The 19,195-nt window shown below is 43.4% G+C and overlaps 1 protein-coding gene and 1 long non-coding RNA gene across 19 annotated transcripts in view, besides 3 other annotated features; one reads left to right on the top strand and one right to left on the bottom strand.

Moving 5' to 3' along the window:
• HDLBP (high density lipoprotein binding protein) overlaps window positions 1-19,195 on the top strand; it is an 88,382-nt gene that overhangs the window by 24,369 nt on the left and 44,818 nt on the right. For 7 of the 18 annotated variants that reach the window (XM_047444077.1, XM_047444067.1, XM_047444073.1 and 4 more), the window contains exon 2: window positions 213-18,543. The exons of 8 other annotated variants lie outside the window; for them this stretch is intronic. The gene's annotated coding sequence lies outside the window, so the exon portion shown is untranslated. Of the gene's footprint in view, window positions 1-212; window positions 18,544-19,195 lie in introns of those variants that run through there. 3 more of the 18 variants (NM_001320967.3, NM_203346.6, NM_001243900.3) reach the window with 1 other exon arrangement.
• Window positions 9,570-10,070: an enhancer, noted in NCBI's record as "H3K27ac hESC enhancer chr2:242220649-242221149 (GRCh37/hg19 assembly coordinates)". NCBI's record gives its function as "activates a minimal SCP1, AML or CMV promoter by ChIP-STARR-seq in naive H9 embryonic stem cells {active_cell/tissue: H9 hESC(naive)}" and the evidence as "EXISTENCE:reporter gene assay evidence [ECO:0000049][PMID:30033119]".
• On the bottom strand, window positions 14,365-19,140 carry HDLBP-AS1 (HDLBP antisense RNA 1). The gene is made up of 2 exons (NR_168372.1): window positions 17,620-19,140; window positions 14,365-17,301 (listed from the first exon to the last, which is right to left on the bottom strand). It is a non-coding gene; the product is annotated as an HDLBP antisense RNA 1 (long non-coding RNA).
• Window positions 18,247-18,526: a silencer, noted in NCBI's record as "silent region_12534". NCBI's record gives its function as "represses an Ori minimal core promoter by ATAC-STARR-seq in GM12878 lymphoblastoid cells {active_cell/tissue: GM12878}" and the evidence as "EXISTENCE:reporter gene assay evidence [ECO:0000049][PMID:35858748]".
• Window positions 18,797-19,106: a silencer, noted in NCBI's record as "silent region_12533". NCBI's record gives its function as "represses an Ori minimal core promoter by ATAC-STARR-seq in GM12878 lymphoblastoid cells {active_cell/tissue: GM12878}" and the evidence as "EXISTENCE:reporter gene assay evidence [ECO:0000049][PMID:35858748]".

Below are 19,195 nucleotides of genomic sequence, written 5' to 3'. Positions count from 1 at the left end.
GACCTAGAGTCAGTCATGTTTCTAAGGAACCCCAGTCTCTTGCCGTGAGATGGTGTTTATATATCAGTCAGTTCAATGTGTATCATTTTCTTAGGCTAAAATCTTGGTTCTTAATGATATTAACTCGCTTACCTATTCTAAATTTTGTGACTCTGCTTTTCACTGATTTGTAGTAGCCGACGATGCTTAAGCATCTTTTATTCCCTTTCTAGATGGAGGCATCTTTGAAAAGTAAAGCGCCTCGTGTGATACAGAGCTTCCCCTCCTGCAGATAAGTCTCACAAACACTTAGCATGTGTCTGTCCAGAGTTTCCTGTTAAAACACACTTTCAGAGGCGTGTAGTGTATGAATAAGTGCCATTTTCATGGCACATATTTTTCATACAATATATTCTTACAGTAACGATACTGACATTATTAGGATATATCCCATTTGGAATATATTGTCAAATTATTGTGTTTTAAAGTTAAATAATTCTCTGATGCTTAGGCCGCCGCTCTGACATTGTTAGATACATTTGTTTCCATTTTCTAAGTAGACTTTTTATTGAGGTATAATAAACATGCACTTTTTAATGTATATAGCTCAGTGAATTTTCACTAACTGAACTCACTCATATAACCAGCATTGAGATAAAGAAGTGGAACGTTTTATTTTTAGAGTTTAGAGTCTGATTTTTTTTTTTTTCCTTTGAGACAGAGTTTTGTTCTTGTTGCCCAGGCTGGAGTGCAATGGCGCGATCTCGGCTCACCACAACCTCCGCCTCTTGGGTTCAAGCATTTCTCCTGCCTCAGCCTCCCGAGTAGCTGGGATTACAGGCATGTGCCGCCACGCCCGGCTAATTTTGTATTTTTAGTAGAGACGGGGTTCCTCCATGTTGGTCAGGCTGGTCTCGAACTCCCGACCTCAGGTAATCCACCCACCTTGGCCTTTCAAGGTGCTGGGATTACAGGCGTAAACCACTGTACCCGGCCTCTTCTGATGTTTATGGTTCTAAAACAGAGCTGTTACTCTTGTTCTGCTCAGATGAGCTTGATTTCCATCCCTGTCCCCTGTCCCTTCTTTCCTTACCCCAACATTTTCTTCTTGTTTCTTTCTGAAAATATAAACAGACATACACATTTCTATTTCTGACTCTTTCTTACAGAAAGGTAGCATACCCTGCACCTGCTGGCCTCCGTTGCTCTTTTCATTAACTGTGTACCCCGAAGACTATGCATAGTAGTGTATGGAGGCTTTCCTTCTACCTTTTATGCTATGTGTTGCTTCACTGCATGGACACAAAGTGGTTTCTTCAGCCCATCTGCATATTGAAGTTGTGTTACTTTCCAGATTTTTTTTTTTTAGCTTTTTATGTCTCGCTATCTCTGCTGTTGCCCTTCTGAAGTCCATTCATCCCACACGTGCAGTAGCTGGAGTTTCCTTTTTATCTAATACTTGAGTTTCCCACTGCCATACTCACCCCACGTTGATGCCTAATGTCTTCTTGAGGTTTCCTTTAGAGGGCACTCCTTACCTTTGGTGCCAGCCATTCTGCTATTCTGATCCTACTTCCCCTCATTACTGATCTTCCTTCTCTGCCATCCTGACCCCTTCCTGTCCTTGGATGCCTTTGGAGTTGCAGAGAAGCTGTCTTTATCTTCCTGGTGTGATACTTGTTTTCTAATAGTAGGAAATAGTGTTTTCTTGTTCTGCCCAGTTTTCTCTCTTTATAGATGAGACATCTAAGTTCCTGCTCCCTGGATGTATGTCAGTTTTTCTCTTACATGGTAATGTTCTGATCTGAGTCCGGTATCTCCATTGTCTAACTTTGCATAGAGGAACATACCTGTGCTTTGGTGGGGACGTTGTGCTTGTATTCGTGCAGTTTAATGTTGAATTAGCTCTTTGTGGAGACAGTTATATAAGTAAGCGTTTCTAGGGAGTCTTTATATCCAAAAGTGAGGCTTAATCTCTGAAGAGTAGACTGATAGGAAGAGAGTACCTGGAGAGATGATGCAGTCCCACCTTCTCATGAGACAAAGGAGGAAGCAGGCCAAGTGAAGAGGGTGATGTGCCAAGCAGTGTCAGCAGCAGATCGCACATTGGAGTGCCACATGCTCTCCACCCTTGAGAGGAGAAAACCTGAAGACTTGGGTTTTCCTGATGTGTGTTTTCTTGTTTGTAGAAAAGTATTGTTTCTATTTGGATAGGACTGAGCCCAAGATTAATCTTTCAGATTCTTAAGTATTTTCCACCCATGGCGTTAGCTAGCTTTGTATCCATAACAGAGTTCTTTATAAACATGAGCTAAGCTAATTCTAGCTCATAGAACTTTCCTATGTAAATTGTAGGAAGGAAAAAATCATCAAGTGTAAATTGTTGCCCTGGGTCAAACTTCAAATTATTTTGTTTCTTGTAGTTTAATGAGATTTATAGTGAGGAGATGGAAGGGATTTTTAAATTGCAGGACTAAAGGGGAATGGCCCTTCCTACAGCCATTCTGTTCCCATCCCCTTCCCAGGAACACCATTACAGTTGGGGTGGGGGCCTGCGTGGGCTTCAAGCCCTGGTGAGGAGTATGTGTGTGTGCAGGAGCTGCCATGAAACACCTTTCAGCGGCTCAGGGTGGCAGACTAGTGTTACCATGGCAGTTAGAGACATCAGTAAACCCATGGGTCATACGGATGCATTTCCACCTAGAAGCAGTGGTTTGTTTCTTCAGTGAGTCAAAGAAACTTAAGATGGAGGAGACCCTAAGGAGTCATGTAAGTTAAATGATCACCCAGTGGAGAGTACACTTCACAGTGGGAATAAGCTCTGCCCATTTTTTTTCCTAGGTGCTAATTCAGGAAAGCATGCTCACTCTTAGTGATCCTTTTCTTCATGTTGAGATGAAATGTGTCTTCAGAATTGTTCTTAGTTGTGCAGGCAACTGGACAGAACTCAGTCCCCCTTTAAATGCTCTCCACATGGTAAAGACAGCTCTTATGTATCTTGTTCTCAGTTTCCAAGGCTTGAATAGGTTCATGTAAAGTCATCACCACTTCCTCAAAAGGAAATTAACAAAAAAAAATTTTAATTCAGACGTCTTGCAGATAACGTGGCAATTGTAATGAGAATAGCACAGCAGAGAAAATAAATTTTGTGACTCTGTTTTTCACTGATTTGTAGTACCTGGTGATACTTAAGTGTCCTCTTTTCCCTCTCCAGGTGGAGGTATTTTTGTTGAAAAGTAAAGAGCCTCATATAATACAGAGCTTTCCCCTTCTGCTGATAACTCTCACAAACACTTAGCATATGTCCATCCATAGTTTCCTATTAAAACACACTTTGGGGGTATGTGGTGTAGGAATATGTGCCATTTTTCATGGTCTTCCCTCCCGTCTTCACATTCTACAGCTTCACAGCAGAATTGTCTTTTCAAGTCCATCTTTTACCCAGCTGTTCATGTTGATGCTTGTTGAGGACTGGGCTCTGGACTTCCTGTCCTTTTGCTATTCTCAATGACTTGAGTTTCCTTCTAGAGAGGTCTTATGCATGTACAAACATGTATATCTTTTAACACGACTGGTTACATATCAACGTAACACATAGCTGCAGGCCAGGCGCAGTGGCTCACACCTGTAATCCCAGCACTTTGGGAGGCCAAGGCAGGCAGATCACTGAGGCCAGGAGTTCAACACCAACCTGGCCAATGTGGTAAAATCCTGTCTCTACAAAAAAATATACAAAAATTAGCCAGGCATAGTGGCGCACACCTGTAGTCCAGCTACTTGGGAGGCTGAGGTGGGAGAATCGCTTGAACCTGGGAGGCAGAGGTTGCAGTGAGCTGCGATTGTGCTGCTGCACTCCAGCCTGGGCAACAGAGTAAGACCCTGTCTCAGAAAAAAAAAAAAAAAAGAAAGAAAGAAATAGGCCGGGCGCGGTGGCTTATGCCTGTAATTCCAGCACTTTGGGAGACAGGCGGGTGGATCACGGTGTCAGAAGTTTGAGACCAGCCTGGCCAACAATGTGAAACCCTGTGTCTACTAAGAATACAAAAATCAGCCAGGTGTGGTGGCGCACGCCTGTAGTCCCAGCTACTCGGGAGGCTGAGGCAAGAGAATCGCTTGAACCCAGGAGGCGGAGGTTTCGGTGAGCCAAGATCACGCCACTGCACTCCAGCCTGGGCAGTAGAGTGAGACTCTGTCTCAAAACAACAACAACAAACTGCCTCTTCTTGTTCACTGACACTGGGTGTATGGTTAAAGCCCCCTTAACTGACCTGTTTTGAGGCACAGAGGTTTATTTAATCACCAGTCATTTGATACAGGGTGAAGACCTATTTGAAATGGGACTGGCTGGATTCTACATGTTTTCTTTTTTTTTTTTTTTGGAAACAGGGTCTTGCTGTGTTGTCCAGGCTGGAGTGCAGTGGTGCCATCATGGCTCACTGCTCAACCCCTGGGGCTCAGGTGATCCTCCCACCTCAGCTTCCACACTGAGTAACTGGCACTACAGGTGCATACTACCATGCCTGGCTAATTTTTATTTTTATTTTTATTTTTTATTTTTTGGTAGAGACAGGGTTTCACCATTGTAAACCCAGGAAATCTGACAAGTCTCAGTTAATTTAGAAAGCTTACTTTGCCAAGGGTGAGGACGCGCACCCGTGACCCAGCCTCAGGAGGTCCTGATGACGTGTGCCCAAGGTGGGCAGAGCACAGTCTGGCTTTATACATTGTAGGGAGACATGAGACATCAGTCAGCATATACAGGACGAACATTGGTTCGGTCTGGAGAGGCAGGATGGCTCGAAGCAAAGGCAGGAAGACTCCAAGTGGGGAGGGGACTTCCAAGTCACAGGCAGGTAAGAGACAAATGGTTGCATTCTTTGGAGTTTCTGATGAGCCTCTCCAAAGGAGGCAGTCAGATACGCATTTATCTCAGTGAACAGAGGGGAGACTTTGAAGAGAATGGGAAGCACGTTGGCCCTAAGCAGTTCCCAGCTAGACTTTTCCTTTTAACTTAGTGATTTGGGGGCCCCAAGATTTATTTTCCTTTCAGACTATGTTGCCTGTGTTGGTTTTGAACTCCTGGGCTCAAGCGATCTACCCACCTCAACCTCCCAAAGTGCTGGGATTACAGGCATGAGCCACCATGCCTGGCCACATACTCTCTTCTTATGTAAATGAAATTGATAATATGTCGTCTAGGATTTTCAGCATTCATTTAAGTGGAACAAAAATTTAAGAAACTCATAATCAGTGTAGATTCTCTGAGATTTTAAAGGTTTTCCTCCATTTGACTTTTTCTTTTAAACAAACAGGTCTTGCTCTTTTTCCCAGGCTGGAGTGCTGTGGCACGATTGTAACTCACTGCAGCTTCAAATTGGGTTCAAATGATCCTTCTGCCTCAGTCTCCTGAGTAACTAGGATTACAGGCACAGGCTAATTGTTTTTATTTTTTATTTTTTTAAGAAATGAGGTCTCACTTTGTTGCCCAGGCTGGTCTCAAACTTTTGGCCTCAAGTGATCCTTCTGCCTTGGCCTCCCAAAGTGCTAGGATTATAGGCATGAGTCACCATGTCCAGCCATAATTTTTTTAAGGCAACTTGTTTTTCTTGAAATTTCAGTGTGGTAAATTTAATATCCATAGATAAATTTCTCTTCACTCCTTCATTATTTTGAATTATTTCTAAATGTAGTTACATTAACTAGTGAAACTGGCATAAACAGGTTTGAGAGCAAGTAAAACTGAGTCTTACTAAGCACACATCATCACTGGTGGGGATCGGTGTTCAGGGCACACTAGAAGGCACTCTGCTCATGACATCAATTAATATTTTACTGTGGGGGTGGAGACTTGGTCATTCATCAGGTCGTTTATGGAGGTCAGTGATAGTGCTTTGTGTTCTGCCACCCTTTGTTTACCCAGTCCCGGACTGAACCAATGCAAATGTTTAATCTTCTGACTCTACAAAAATGCTACAGTGCACATCAGGCACACTGCAGAGACACTGCAGGTTTGTGATACCACCACAAGAAAGCCTGACATCCCAATAAAGCACATCACATGAGTTTTACGTTTCCCAGTGCATATAAAAGCTGTAACATGTTTAGAAAAACAATGGTATATACTTTAATTTAAAATAATGGTTAAGGCTGGGCGCAGTGGCTCAGGCCTGTAATCCAGCACATTGGGAGGCCAAGGTGGGTGGATCACCTGAGGTCAGGAGTTCGAGACCAGCCTGGCCAACATGGTGAAACCCCGCCTCTACTAAAAGTACGAAAATTAGCTGGGTGTGGCGGAGCACACCTGTAATCCCAGCTACTTGGGAGGCTGAGGCGGGAGAGTCACTTGAACCCGGGAGGTGGAGGTTGCAGTAAGCCAAGATCAAGACTGTGCCACTGCACTCCAGTCTGGGCAACTGAGTGAGACTCCATCTCAAAAAATAATAATAAAATATTGGTTAAAAAATGCTCATGATCATTGAGCCTTCAGCAAGTCTTAATCTTTTTGCTGCTGGAAGGTCTCGCTTTGATGTTGATGGCTGCTGACTGATCAGAGCAGAGGTTGCTACATGTTGGGGTGACTGGCAATTTTGTAAAATCAGACAACAATGAAGTTTACTGCATTGATTGACTCTTCCACAAAAGATTTCTCTGTAGCACGTGATGTTGTTTGATTGCATTTTCCCACAATAGAACTACTTTCAGAATTGGACTCAATCCTCTCAAACACTGCCATTGCTTTATCAGCTAAGTTTATGTAATATTCTAAATCCTCTGTTGTCATTTCAACAATGTTCACAACATCTTCATTCAGCATCTACTTCCTGAGTAGATTCTATCTTAGGAAACCACTTTCTCTGCTCATCCATAAGAAGCAACTCCTCATCTGTTCACGTTTTATCATGAGATTGCAGCAATTCAGTCCCATCTTCAGGCTCCACTTTTAATTCTAGTTCTCTTGCTGTTTCTACCACACTTGCAGTTGCTTTCTCCACTGAAGTCTTGAACCCCTCAAAGTCATGGCATCCGGAATGGTGAATCCTTTACAGGAGGTTTTCAATGGACTTTGCCCAAATCCATGAGAGGAATAACTATCTATGGCAGCTGTAGCCTTAAAAATAATTTCTTAAGTATTAAGTCTTGAAAGTCGAAATTACTTCTTGATCCATGGGCTGCAGAATGGCTGTTAGCAGGCATGAAAACAACATTCATCTCCTTGTACATCTCCATCAGAGCTCTTGGGTGACCAGATGCTTTGCCAATCAGCAGTAATGTTTTGAAAGGAATCTTTTTTTTTTTTCTGGGCAGTAGATCTTAACGGTGAGCTTAAAATACTCAGTAAATCGTTTTAAACAGATGTGCTGTCATCCAGGCTTTGTTTCATTCATACAGCACAGGCAGAGTATATTTAGTGTAATTCTTCAGACCCCTAGGATTTTCAGAATGGTAAATGAGCATTGGCTTTAACATAAAGTCACTGGCTGCACTAGCCCCTAACAAGAGAGTCAGCCTTTTGAAGCTTTGAAGGCTTCTCTTAGAAGCGATCTAGCTATTGGCTGGGCGCAGTAGCTCACGCCTGTAATCCCAGCACTTCGGGAGGCTGAGGTGGGCGGATCACGAGGTCAGGAGATCGAGACCATCCTGGCTAACACGGTGAAACCCCATCTCTACTAAAAATACAAAAAATTAGCCGGGCGTGGTGGTGGGCGCCTGTAGTCCCAGCTACTCGGGAGGCTGAGGCAGGAGAATGGTGTGAACCTGGGAGGCAGAGGTTACACTGAGCAGAGATCATGCCACTGCACTCCAGCCTGGGCCATAGAGCGAGACTCTGTCTCAAGAAAAAAAAAAAAAAAGAAGCCATCTAGCTATCAAAGTCCTTAGATGGCATCTTCTTGCACTATGAGGCTGTCTCATTTACACTGAAAATCTGTTTAGTGCAGCTACTTTCATCAGTGACCTTAGCTAAATCTTCATAACTCACTGCAGCTTCTACATCAGCACTTGCTGCTTCACCGTGCACTTTCATGTTAGAGAGATCTTAAACTTCAAGAACCAACCTCTGCTAGCTTGAGACATTTTTTCCTGCAGCTTCCTCACCTCTCTCAGCCTTCATGGAATTAAAGAGAGTTAGGGCCTTGCTCTGGATTAGGCTTTGGTTTAAGGGAATTTTGAGACTGGTTTAATCTTCTAGCCAGACCACTCAAACTTTCTCCTTATCAGCGATAAGGCTGTTTCGCTCTCTTACCATTTATGTGTTCACTGGAGTAGCACTTTTCCTTCAGCCTTTTTTCTTTGCATTCACAGCTTGGCTATTTGGTGCAAGAGGCCTAGCTTTTGGCGTGTCTTAGCTTTTAACAACTCTTCTTCACGTGCCTTCTTAATCATTTCTAGCTTTTGATTTAATATGAGAGACGTGCAGCTCTTCCTTTCACTTGAACACTTAGAAGCAATTGTTGGGTTATTAATTGGTTTCCCCTCAATATTGTGTCTAGGGATCGGGCGGCATGAGGAGAGGGAGAGAGATGGGAGTGGCCAGTTGGAGCAGTCAGAACACACACAGCATTGATTGATTAAGTTCTCTGCCTTGTATGAGCGTGGTTTGTGGCACTCCAAAACAATTACAGTAGTAACATCAAGGATTACAGATCACCATAACAGATACAATGACAATGAAAACGTTTGAAATATTGCTAGAATTACCAAAATGTGCTGTTGGAAAAGAGGCATGGAAAGACCTGCAGAGTTGCCAAAACCTTCAGCCTATAATAAACACAATGTCTAAAAAACCCAAGTAAGAGAAGCACTGTAAGCTGAAGTGTGCCTCTATCTTTGGGCACATGTGTGAGAAATTCTTAGAAGTAGGAAGTGTTAGATCAAAGAATATTGATGTTTTAAATCTCAGTCCACAATCAAATATGTACGCTCTCCAAAGAGACCACACCAATTATTCCTCCAGCCACACCTGTTTTCCCACACTTTTTTTTGAGTCTTCAGATTTTATTTTTGCCAAACTGAGGTGAAATGTAGAATCTTATTCTACTTTTCACTTGCATTTTAAAATACAAATTGAATAAATGTTTCCTGCATTTCCATGAAAGGCCTGCTTGTATCTTTTGCCCATTTTTTAAAAATGGGTTATTAAAGAGTCCTTTAGGAAATACTGTAAACGTAACGTGCTCCTCTTTTCCCCAGAAATGTTTGAGCCTGCCACGTGTGCCATGTTTGTGTTTGTGGTAGAGGAGATGCTTTCATGATTGAGAAGAAGACGCATTTTATACTCTTTTCCCCTAATGTAAATTTATTCATTAAACACAAAAGATTTGTAATAAAATATTTTTTCCTTAAGATTGTTATATAAAGTTTACTAATGAGAAAAACTCCCTTGTCAGTTTATAGTTTAGCTTTGGTTTGAAAATACAGACACTGTAGCACTGCTGTCCAATATGAGCCACATATATTTAAAATTTTCCAACATCTGCCTTAAAAATATAAAAATAAACAAGTGAAGTTAATTTTAATAATATTGTTTCACCCAATGTAAGATACTACCATTTTACATGTAATCCATCCTAAAACTAATAATAAAATGTTTTAGATAGTATTTCTTGTACTAAATCTTCAAAATCTGATGTATATTTTAGACTTACAGCACATATCATTTTAAACTAGCCACGTGTGAAGGCTGTAGTGACATGTGGCCAGTAGATGTTGGCCAGCACAGCTCAAAAGAGTAGTCTATTTCTATGAAAATCCATCAATTTATTCTTTTGGACCTAACATTTGTCCTATCCTCTTTTTTATTTTTTTGAGACAGGGTCTCACTTGGTCAGCCAGGCTGGAGTGCAGTGTCACGATCTCAACTCATTGCAACCCCCACCTCCTAGGCCCAAGCAATTCTCCCACCTCAGCCTCCCGAGTAGCTGGGATTACAGGCACGTGCCACCATGCCTGGCTTATTTATTTATTTATTTTTAAGACGGAGTTTCACTCCTGTTGCACAGGCTGGAGTGCAATGGCGCGATCTCGGCTCACTGCAACCTCTGCCTCCCGGGTTCAAGCGATTCTCCCACCTCAGCCTCCCGAGTAGCTGGGATTACAGGCATGCACCCCCAAGCCCGAGTAATTTTGTGTTTTAGTAGAGATGGGGTTTCTCCCTGTTGGTCAGGCTGATCTCGATCTCTCGACCTCAAGTGATCCGCCCACCTCGGCCTCCCAAAGTGCTGGGATTACAGGCGTGAGCCACCGCGCCCAGCCCCCCATCTTATTAAGAAAATAAATTGTATTTATCTGACACATGTTCTTTAATTAGGCTCTAAGTAAATATTATTCTTTACTCAGCTGTAGAAATATGTGCTGATTGTTTCTGTATTTGTAAAATTAATGTAGTGGCATACTCCACTAAATGTATTAATTTAGTGGAAAGTAGTGAGTTTAGTGGTTTAGTGGAATTAAATGTTAGCATTCCCAAACAGTGAGATACCTATTAAAGGGCAGGTTCTTTTAGATACCATTTTCCTTGATCTTTTTAACAACTTGCAGAAAAGGCCCCAAAACTTAGAAATGTGAATTATTAAAGTTGAGAGCTTAAACAACTAGCCAAGGTGACCCAAATTATATCTGAGCAAGATTCTGAAAGCAGGTATCCTGGCAACAAGTTTGGTGTTCTTTATACAATTTGTTCTCATTATAGGTGCCTATAATGACTCGGATAAAACACAAGTTACGTATTTTCACCTTACCTAGAAATACGTGAATCAAAGAAATAAGCCAGAGAACAGTGTCACTGGAGAATATACTAAGTTACCTTTTCTGTTACTTCCTGAAAAGTAGTGAAACTGACAGAATTAGTTAGTGGAGAAAGAACAAGGCAAATTTACAGGAAACCCTGGACTGCAAGGTCTTTGTTTCTGTCTCATCTGAACTTTCGTGAGACTTTATTTTAGGGCTGGGAGTTTAATGTAATAATATATACTGTAATATATATTAGCAGTAAATACATGTGAGCCAAAGAAAAGTTGTTCCTTATTAGAATATGCTACAAGTCAAATTAAACTGAGTATAAATAAGCTTAATTATAAAATTAGTTTGTGCTAATAAAAATGTAATATGAGCCACATATAATTTTAAATTTTCAGCTTTCAAATGGGATGGAAACATTTCTTTGACCTGACTTTGACCACCACACTCAGTATGGGAGTGCAAATTGTGCTAAACTTAGCTCCCATCCCATGGTGCCAATAACTTCCTATAAGACTGCACTGCTGCCAAGGAAGTGGTGGGCGCCTGTCCTCCACATCTCTGCTCCCACAGCCTTGGAGATGACCCCTGGTCCGCTGCTCCTCCTAACCCCTTCAGCATGGCTCCACTGCAGCGGGTTCCTGTCAGGTGATAAGTTAAAGCAAAGAGAGGAGTAGGCTGCATAAATTGTATACCTCTGTTTATCCATGTTATCCACTGACAATTAGGTTCTTAAAAATTTGTTGACTATTACTAGCAGTGCAGTGAGATGAGCATTCTTGTACATATTTCCTTTTGCCCAGGAAAGCTTTTTCCTGAAGTACGTCTCCAGAAGTGGGATCGTTCGCTCGTGGAGTATTTGCTTCTTAAGCCTTAATAGGCCTTGCAAATGGTGTCAAATAAGGACCTAGTTTTTCCCTCCTACTGTAGATAACCAGTTTTCCCAGAGCCATTGATTGCATCATCCATCTCCCTGCTGATCCACACGACCACATCTGAGGCAGGCAATGTCAGTGTCTGTGGTGTCTGCGTTGGGCCCACTCTGCTGCTCCCTTGTTCTCTGTGTCTGTCCCCGGCACTAGCACCACAGCCTGAATTACTGACACTGGAGAGAGCAAGCCCTCCTCCACGTTGTTTTCTTCAGAGTTATATTAGCTGTTCTTGGTCCTTGATCTTTTGTATAAATTTTGTTGTGTAAATATGATTGTATTTGTAACTATTCTAAAAATGGTGTATATAAATAATTTTTTTTACAATTCAGTGTTTGCAATGCAACATTATAAAAATTACATATAGAAAACTTGTATAAATAAAAATTGTATAAAATCTGGTTGTAAAATTCCATACACACACATACCTTTTGGGATTTAAGTTACATTTGCATTGAATTTCTAGTCTAATTAGGGGAGAATTACTATCCATGATTAAGTCTTTCTTTAGATGACCATGGCCTGTCTCCATTTATTAAGGTCATTTCTGTATTTTGACAAAGGTTTTTATAAGTTCTATAAATCACATTTTTTTTCTTAATTAGATTTTAAAAAATTTTTTTAGAGGGGTGGAGAGGGGACAGAGTCTCACGCTGTTGCTCACGCGGCAGTGCAGTGGCGTGATCTTGGTTCACTGCAGCATCCGCCTCCTGGGTTCAAGCGATTCTCGTGTCTCAGCCCCCCAAGTAGCTGGGACTACAGGCATGCATCACCACACCCGGCTTAGATTTATTTTTAATAGTTTGTTGCTGGTGTTTTGGAAACATAATTGATTGTGTGTATTGGTTTTATTTCCAGAAAACTTACTGAACTTTTTAATTAGTTCTAATAGTGTGTCCATACATCCTCCTGGATTTTCTTCCAGCACAGTTATATTGTCTGTGAATACTGGCAGTTTTGGTTCATTTTCAATTCTGGTAACTTTCTTTTCTTGCCATACTGCCCTGGCTTATATTCCTAGTTGCTATTAGGAATGGGTTAATTAGTTGAGATTCTTCATTTGAATTTTTTTTTTTTTGGAGATGGAGTCTTGCTCTGTTGCCCAGGCTGGAGTGCAGTGGCACCATCTTGTTTCACTGCAACCTCCACCTCCCGGGTTCAAGCAATCCTCCTGCCTCAGCCTCCCAAGTAGCTGGGAGTACAGGCATGTGCCACCATGCCCGGCTAATGTTTGTATGTTTAGTAGAGACGGAGTTTCGCCATATTGGCCAGGCTGGTCTCGAACTCTTGACCTCAGGTATCTGCCTGCCTCAGCCTCCCAAAGTGCTGGGATTACAGGCACGAGCCACCGTGCCCAGCCTATTTGAATCTTTTGAAATGATCAAATTATCTTTGCCCCTCATGCTGTTAATGTGGCGAGTAACTTTACTCTGTTTTTCTAATATTGTACCCCCCCACATTACTGGATTAAACTTCATCGTGATAATATTTGTTTTTCTATTTCTGGGTCAGTTTGCAAGATTGTTTCAGGCTTTGGCTTTTAAATACCTAGGTGAGATTCACCTACTCCTTTGTCTGTGATGAGTCCAAGCCCCCTAGCTTTGTGTGGGAGATAATCTCTGAAAGCTTCCTTACAAAAGCATTTGGAGACCCGCCTTTTTGTTGTATTATTTTGTTGTTGTTGTTTTTTGGTTTTTTTTGAGATGGAGTTTCACTTTTGTTTCCCAGACTGGAGTGCAATGGCGTGGTCTCGGCCCACGGCAACCTCCACCTCCCAGGTACAAGCGATTCTCCTGCCTCGGCCTCCTGAGTAGCTGGGATTACAGGCATGCACCACCACGCCCAACTAATTTTGCATTTTTAGTAGAGATAGGGTTTCATCATGTTGGTCAGGCTGGTCTCGAACTCCCAACCTCAGGTGATCCGCCCGCCTCGGCCTCCCAAAGTGCTGGGATTATAGGCGTGAGCCACCTCGCCCGGCCTTGTTGTAAGTTTTATATTTGTTTCTTTGAAGATTGGGGAAGGTTGGTTATTGAAACTATATTTCTAACTCAGTTTGGGTAACTTATTTTTCTAGAATTTGCCCATTTCATCTGTTTTCGAGTTTTTGACACTACTCTTCTCAATAGAATTCTTACATGATTTTTCAAAGTCTCCATTTTAGCTGTAGTTTTTGACCCCCTTTTAATTCTTAATATTGCCTACTTATACTGTCCTTTTTTCAGGAATCATTTTTGCCAGAGATTGAACTTGTCTTTTAAAAAATTTGGATGTAGGTTTTGTTTATCCTTTGTGGTATATGTCTTTTAGTTCATTAATATCTTATCTTTATTTCCTTCTACCTTTCTTTTGTTTATTCTGGTGTTTTTTGTTCTAGTTTCAGTAGTGGATGATTAGCTTATTTTATTTTTTTCCTCTTCACTAATAGGATGGCTTAAAGTTACAAGGCTTTAAGCAACAATCTTGTTTCATTCCACAAGGTGGGATATATAATTGCTTAATGGCTTAGTTTTAAATGTTTTCAGATTTCTTCCTTGTTCCATGAGTTACTTAGAAGCAAGTTTTAAAACTTATATAGTCTTTAAATTTTTAAGTTGAGTTCTAATTGAGTGGTGGTCTGAGAATGTTACTATGATTTAATTCTTTACTATTTGTTTAATTTTTTTTTTTTTTTTAGCTCCTGGCCAGGTTTTATGGTTTTTTAAAAAGGTGTCACTTTTAATCATGTGTTCAATAAAGTAGATTTATTAATTGTGTTTGCATCCTCTATACATTTTCCAATCCCATAACCTGTGTTACCAAGAGAGTTGGGTCAGTCTCACCCTTTAACCTTGGATATATCAATTTCTCCTAGTAACCTTCAGTTTTTACTTTATATGTTTTGCAGCTATGTTATTAGATACATGTAATCAGAGTTACTGAATTTTTAAGTTCTTGACCTTCTCTGTTCTTAATAATGATTTTTATCCTACAGTCTGTGTTATCTGAAAATAATATAACCAACTTTCATATGGTTAGTATTTGCTCGGAGTACTTCTTCCATCTCTTTATTTCAGCCTATATGTCTGTATGGTTTAGGACTGTTGAATGGCCTATAGCTGCTGTTAGAGTTGGTCAGTTTAGTCTGTTAACACGTATTTAGATTACTGATGGGTTTGAATTCATTCCTCTCATCAGTTTTGTGTTTTATTTACCTTGCTTTTTCATTGCTTCTTTTACTTTTCTTGCCTCCTATTCTTTTTTCTTGTTTTCTCTCTTTTCTTTAACAATTATTAATACAGTATAATGTAACCAGTAATAATGTACATCGTAATGAATACCGCTGAACCTACCACCTAATCCAAGATCTAGAACATTGCCAATAACTTCCATTTGAGTAAGAGTTTAGTTTGAATGTTAAAAACTCTTTGTTTTTCCTAGATTGTCTTTAAATTTTTAACATTCATTCTCAACAAGGGCTAAAATTAGTATCTCTAGCCTCTCCCCAAATAATAAGAATCTTGAAACCTTGCAACTTCATATCCCCCTTCCACCTTATATATTATTGCTGCCTAAGCATTTTAATTCTGTCTTTTATTTTATTTTGTACTTGCATATTCTGCTTACGTACCTATCTATAATTTAATTCCCTTCAAATTTTATTGTTGATATTAGTATAGGGTCACCACTTGTTTCACTTTATCTAGGTTGCTGGTTTATCAGTATTCCTTCTTTCTGGTCTCTCTGGCTTTCATTTTCTTGCTGAAATATGTCCTTTAGTAGGTCTGTCAGCAGGGATCTATTGGTAGTAGTTGCTTTATCTTTGAATATGTCTATTCTCATTCTTAAATGAAAAAGAATTCTTAAATCCAAATTGACAGTTATTTCTTTCGCCATAATTTATATATAGCCATTATCCTCTGGTATGTATTGTTTTAAGTGGTCTGCCTTTGGTCTCATAGTATTCTTTATGAGTAACCTGTCTTTTCTCTCTAGTTGCTTTTAAGGTCCTGCTCTTGTCTTTGGTGCTCTGAGGTTACTCTGTAGTGTGTTTTGATTTGGATTAGTTTAAATTATCCTGCTAGACACCTTCTCTGTCTTTTTTGGGATGAGGGAAGAATGTTGTATCATTAAATCTTAGAATTTTCTCAGCTATTTTAAAAAATGTTTCTTCTCTGTTCTTTGGATTTTTTCTTTTCTCTTTTTGTTTTGGAACTCCAGTTATAGACATATGTTAGAGTTTCTCATTCCATGGTTCTTAGCTCTTTCATTCGTTCCATCTCTCGATTTTTTTTCTAAAATGTCACCTTTATGTCTCTTATGCTTTTTTATTGTCTCAATCTTAGTTCTGTCTCCCGAAGTTCTTGAGTCTAATCCTACTTCTAATCCATCCTTCCTTCTTTTTGAGCTTTGGGCTTTTAGCCTCTCTACCATTTGTGCTGATCTGTGGGTATCCTTTTTAGCCTGGTATGAGGTTTATTCTTTCCTGAGGCGGGGTGGGGGGGAATTGCTTTCTGTTTTGTTAATATCTCAGTTTGGGCTAGGGGTTCCTGGACAAATGGGCTTGGTTGTAGAGTACTAGTCCATTGTCCCTACAGCTCAAGAGATGCTTCTGTCTGCCAGCTCAGGATAGTCAGAGAAGGCATCCTGTAGTCCCCTCTACACTAGTGGGCTTTTCTTCTTCTTTTTTTGATCTACCTATCTTCTGGTAAGTGTAGCCCTTTTGGGGATCATGACTTTATGGAATAGGAGGGTATCTCTTCTCACCTCCTACCTTGAGCAGACCCAAACTTCTCCCCCGTCCCTTTGAGGGCTGAAAACTCAAATGTCACAGACAGACGTTCACACTTCATTTGGTCTGAATATTGCTAGCCATGGAATTTCTAAAATTTGCTTCTACGAACTATTTATTAGTTTCAGTGTGCTAAGCCTGCTGGGAGGAAATGCTGGTTGTGAGCATCAGCACAGAAGCATTCTGGACGGTTATTAGCACAAAGTTAGCATATGATTTTGTAATCTCTTCTGCTAACAGTGTTTTTTAAACTAACTCTTTACGGTGTCCTGTGTACTAGGTACTGTGCCTGTGCTGACTTCCTAGCTTTATTGGAAGTTCCTTGACAGCGGACCGAATCCCTACCCGTTACTCTTTCTCCATCTCCCTCTGCAGTGCTGAGCCCTCAAAAACAAAACAGCAACAAAAAACACACTTGCACTAGTTGCTGATTGGTTAATCCCCACGGAAAGGTTACCAACAAACCACAGCAGTGACACAGAAGGGAATGCCTATTTCCACATCTAGGGAGGCCCACCTGCCCAGTTCCGTGCTGCTGACTTAGAGCACGGCTTTGCTGATGATATCCTTGGCTCCTTCTCTGCGTCAAGCCGCAGGTGTTCTCTGCCTTCTGTGATTCTGCTCCCCTCCCTAGGTGGTGTCATGAAGTGCATGGTATTTCTGCTGGCTCCTAGGCTTTTCCCCTGACCTTGCACATACAGTTGCCTGCTCCACTTCCCCACCTGCCCAGTCAGGGCATCACACCCCCTTATCCATCCAGTCTTCCTTGAATTTTACCCACCTCAGTGAGGGCAGCTCTTCCCAGTCACTCAGGCCAAGAACCTGTGTCTTTCTTAACTTCTTTTACACCCCTCTTCTGGTCAATAAGGAACTTCTTGGTGCTTCTTTCTGAATATATACCAAATCTGGCCATTTATTTCCTCCATTATGCCCACCATAATGCAAGCCATTGTCATCTTTAGACTGAACTATAGTAGGCCTCCCCTGCCCTCCCCTCCCCTGCCACTTAGTGTCAGTGTTCCACGAAAAAAAAAAAAACACGTCTGATCCTGCCTTCTGCTGCTTGCAGCCCCCACCCAGCTCCCACCATCCTCAACAGCACCCGTGGCCTGGCTGCAGGCTGTGCGGACCTGACCCCATTCCCTGGGTAAGGCTGGGTGTGCCCCTACCTCTTCCCCTGTGTGGGACGGTCTTGTCCCCAGATACCTGTAGTTGATCCTGTGCCCTATGCAGGATTCTGTTGACCTGCGACTTTGCCAGAGGTTCAGACTGACATCTCTACAGATTGCTCGACTCCCTTTATACCCTTAAAAGAAACAGTGGCAGTTATCACTTAGTAAACACAATGGATGCAGAAGTGACAAGTCCTTCCCGGAGGGTGGAGACCCCGAGAGTAGGGATTCCGTTCCGCCCAGTCCTGCGTATCCACCGTGGGCTCAGAGGCCACACACCGGTTCTTTTGCGTGTATACATCTATGTAGAGATGGAGCCATAAGTAATACACGCTTTAAAGGAAGGGGATTTTACATTTTGGGGGGGAGATTAAGTTGATTGCCAAGGAATCGGGTGGGGATAGTTTATAAAAGTGAGGGACATAAGGAATAGGCACGCAGGAATGAGGGAATGAAAGCCCTGGAGCCGCCTGGGAGCCTCACTGCGCTGTAGGACCTCGTGCCAGTGTGGCCATCCGTTTACGATGTGGTGGGCATCCTTTGAGGTTTTTCTTCTGATTTTGGGGAGGTGGGCGGTACTGGTGACATCTGCTTCCAGAGCAGCCGTCCTTCCTGCTCCCTTTCTGGTCTTCGGTTGTTTCCACTCGGGTTCTTGCGGGGCGCGCTCCCTCTGCTTTCTGGAGGTGATTAATTTCCCAACTCCTCGGCACCGCCTTCCCCACCCGAAAAAAGGATGCAGAACCACGCCTGCAGTTGGGTGGGCCTCCCGGGTGCTGGGCGGCCCGGGGCGGCGGGGACCCCAGCGGCGGGGCGGGCGGGCGCTGACGTGTCCAGGCGGGATTGGGCCGCCGCCCTATATAGCAGCCGGGGCCCGGGCGCCGCGCCTCGGAGCGTCCCGGCTTCTCCCGCGCGGGGGGCGAGTAAGCCAGCGGCAGGACCAGCGGGCGGGGGCCCACGAGTGAGCGCGCAACACGGGGCTGGGAGGCCTGGGCGGGCGGGCGGACGGGGCGGGCGGGCTGCCGGGCGGGGGGGTGGGGGGTGGCTGCTGACGTGGAGGCCGCGGAGGGGGAGGGGCCCGGGTGCCGCGGCCCCCACCCGGGCCCCAGGCTGCGGCCCCCGCCCGCGGGTGTCCTGCTTACCGCGCGTGGCGGTTCCGGGCCAGACCTGGGGCCGGCTCCGAGTCTCTTCTGCGCGTGGCCGTGGCGCGGAGGGGCGCGCACAAACTTTCTCAAGTCCGGTGGCGCCGCTGGGCCGCTCTTGGCTGCAAGCTGGGCTCCCCCGCCTCCTCCCGGGGCTTCGGTGGGGCACCCCTGGTGCCGTGGCCGCACGGCGCGGAGGGGCGGCCGACCTGAGCCCAGGTCGCTGACGTTGGCGGGGCCGGCCCTCCCCTCCCCCGCTCCGGCGGGGGCGCCGTGTGCGGCCAGGGTGGGGGTCCCTGGGAGGCCAGCGGGGTCCTTCCCCCCAGGTGGCGGCGGGGCGGGGGTCTGGGCGCAGACCGGGCGGCGGGGCCCCCGCAGCACCTCCACCTGCCGCGCGGGGCCCGCGTCAGTCTACGTGTTCGGGGGTGGGGAAAGCTGCTCTTCTTGGGCCTGGAGTGCAACTTGGACGTG

This window comes from Homo sapiens, chromosome 2, assembly GCF_000001405.40.
Source record: "Homo sapiens chromosome 2, GRCh38.p14 Primary Assembly".
Taxonomy (NCBI): Eukaryota; Metazoa; Chordata; class Mammalia; order Primates; family Hominidae; genus Homo; species Homo sapiens.
The sequence above is the reverse complement of the archived record's forward strand: the minus strand, read 5'-3'. Positions and strand labels throughout refer to the sequence as shown.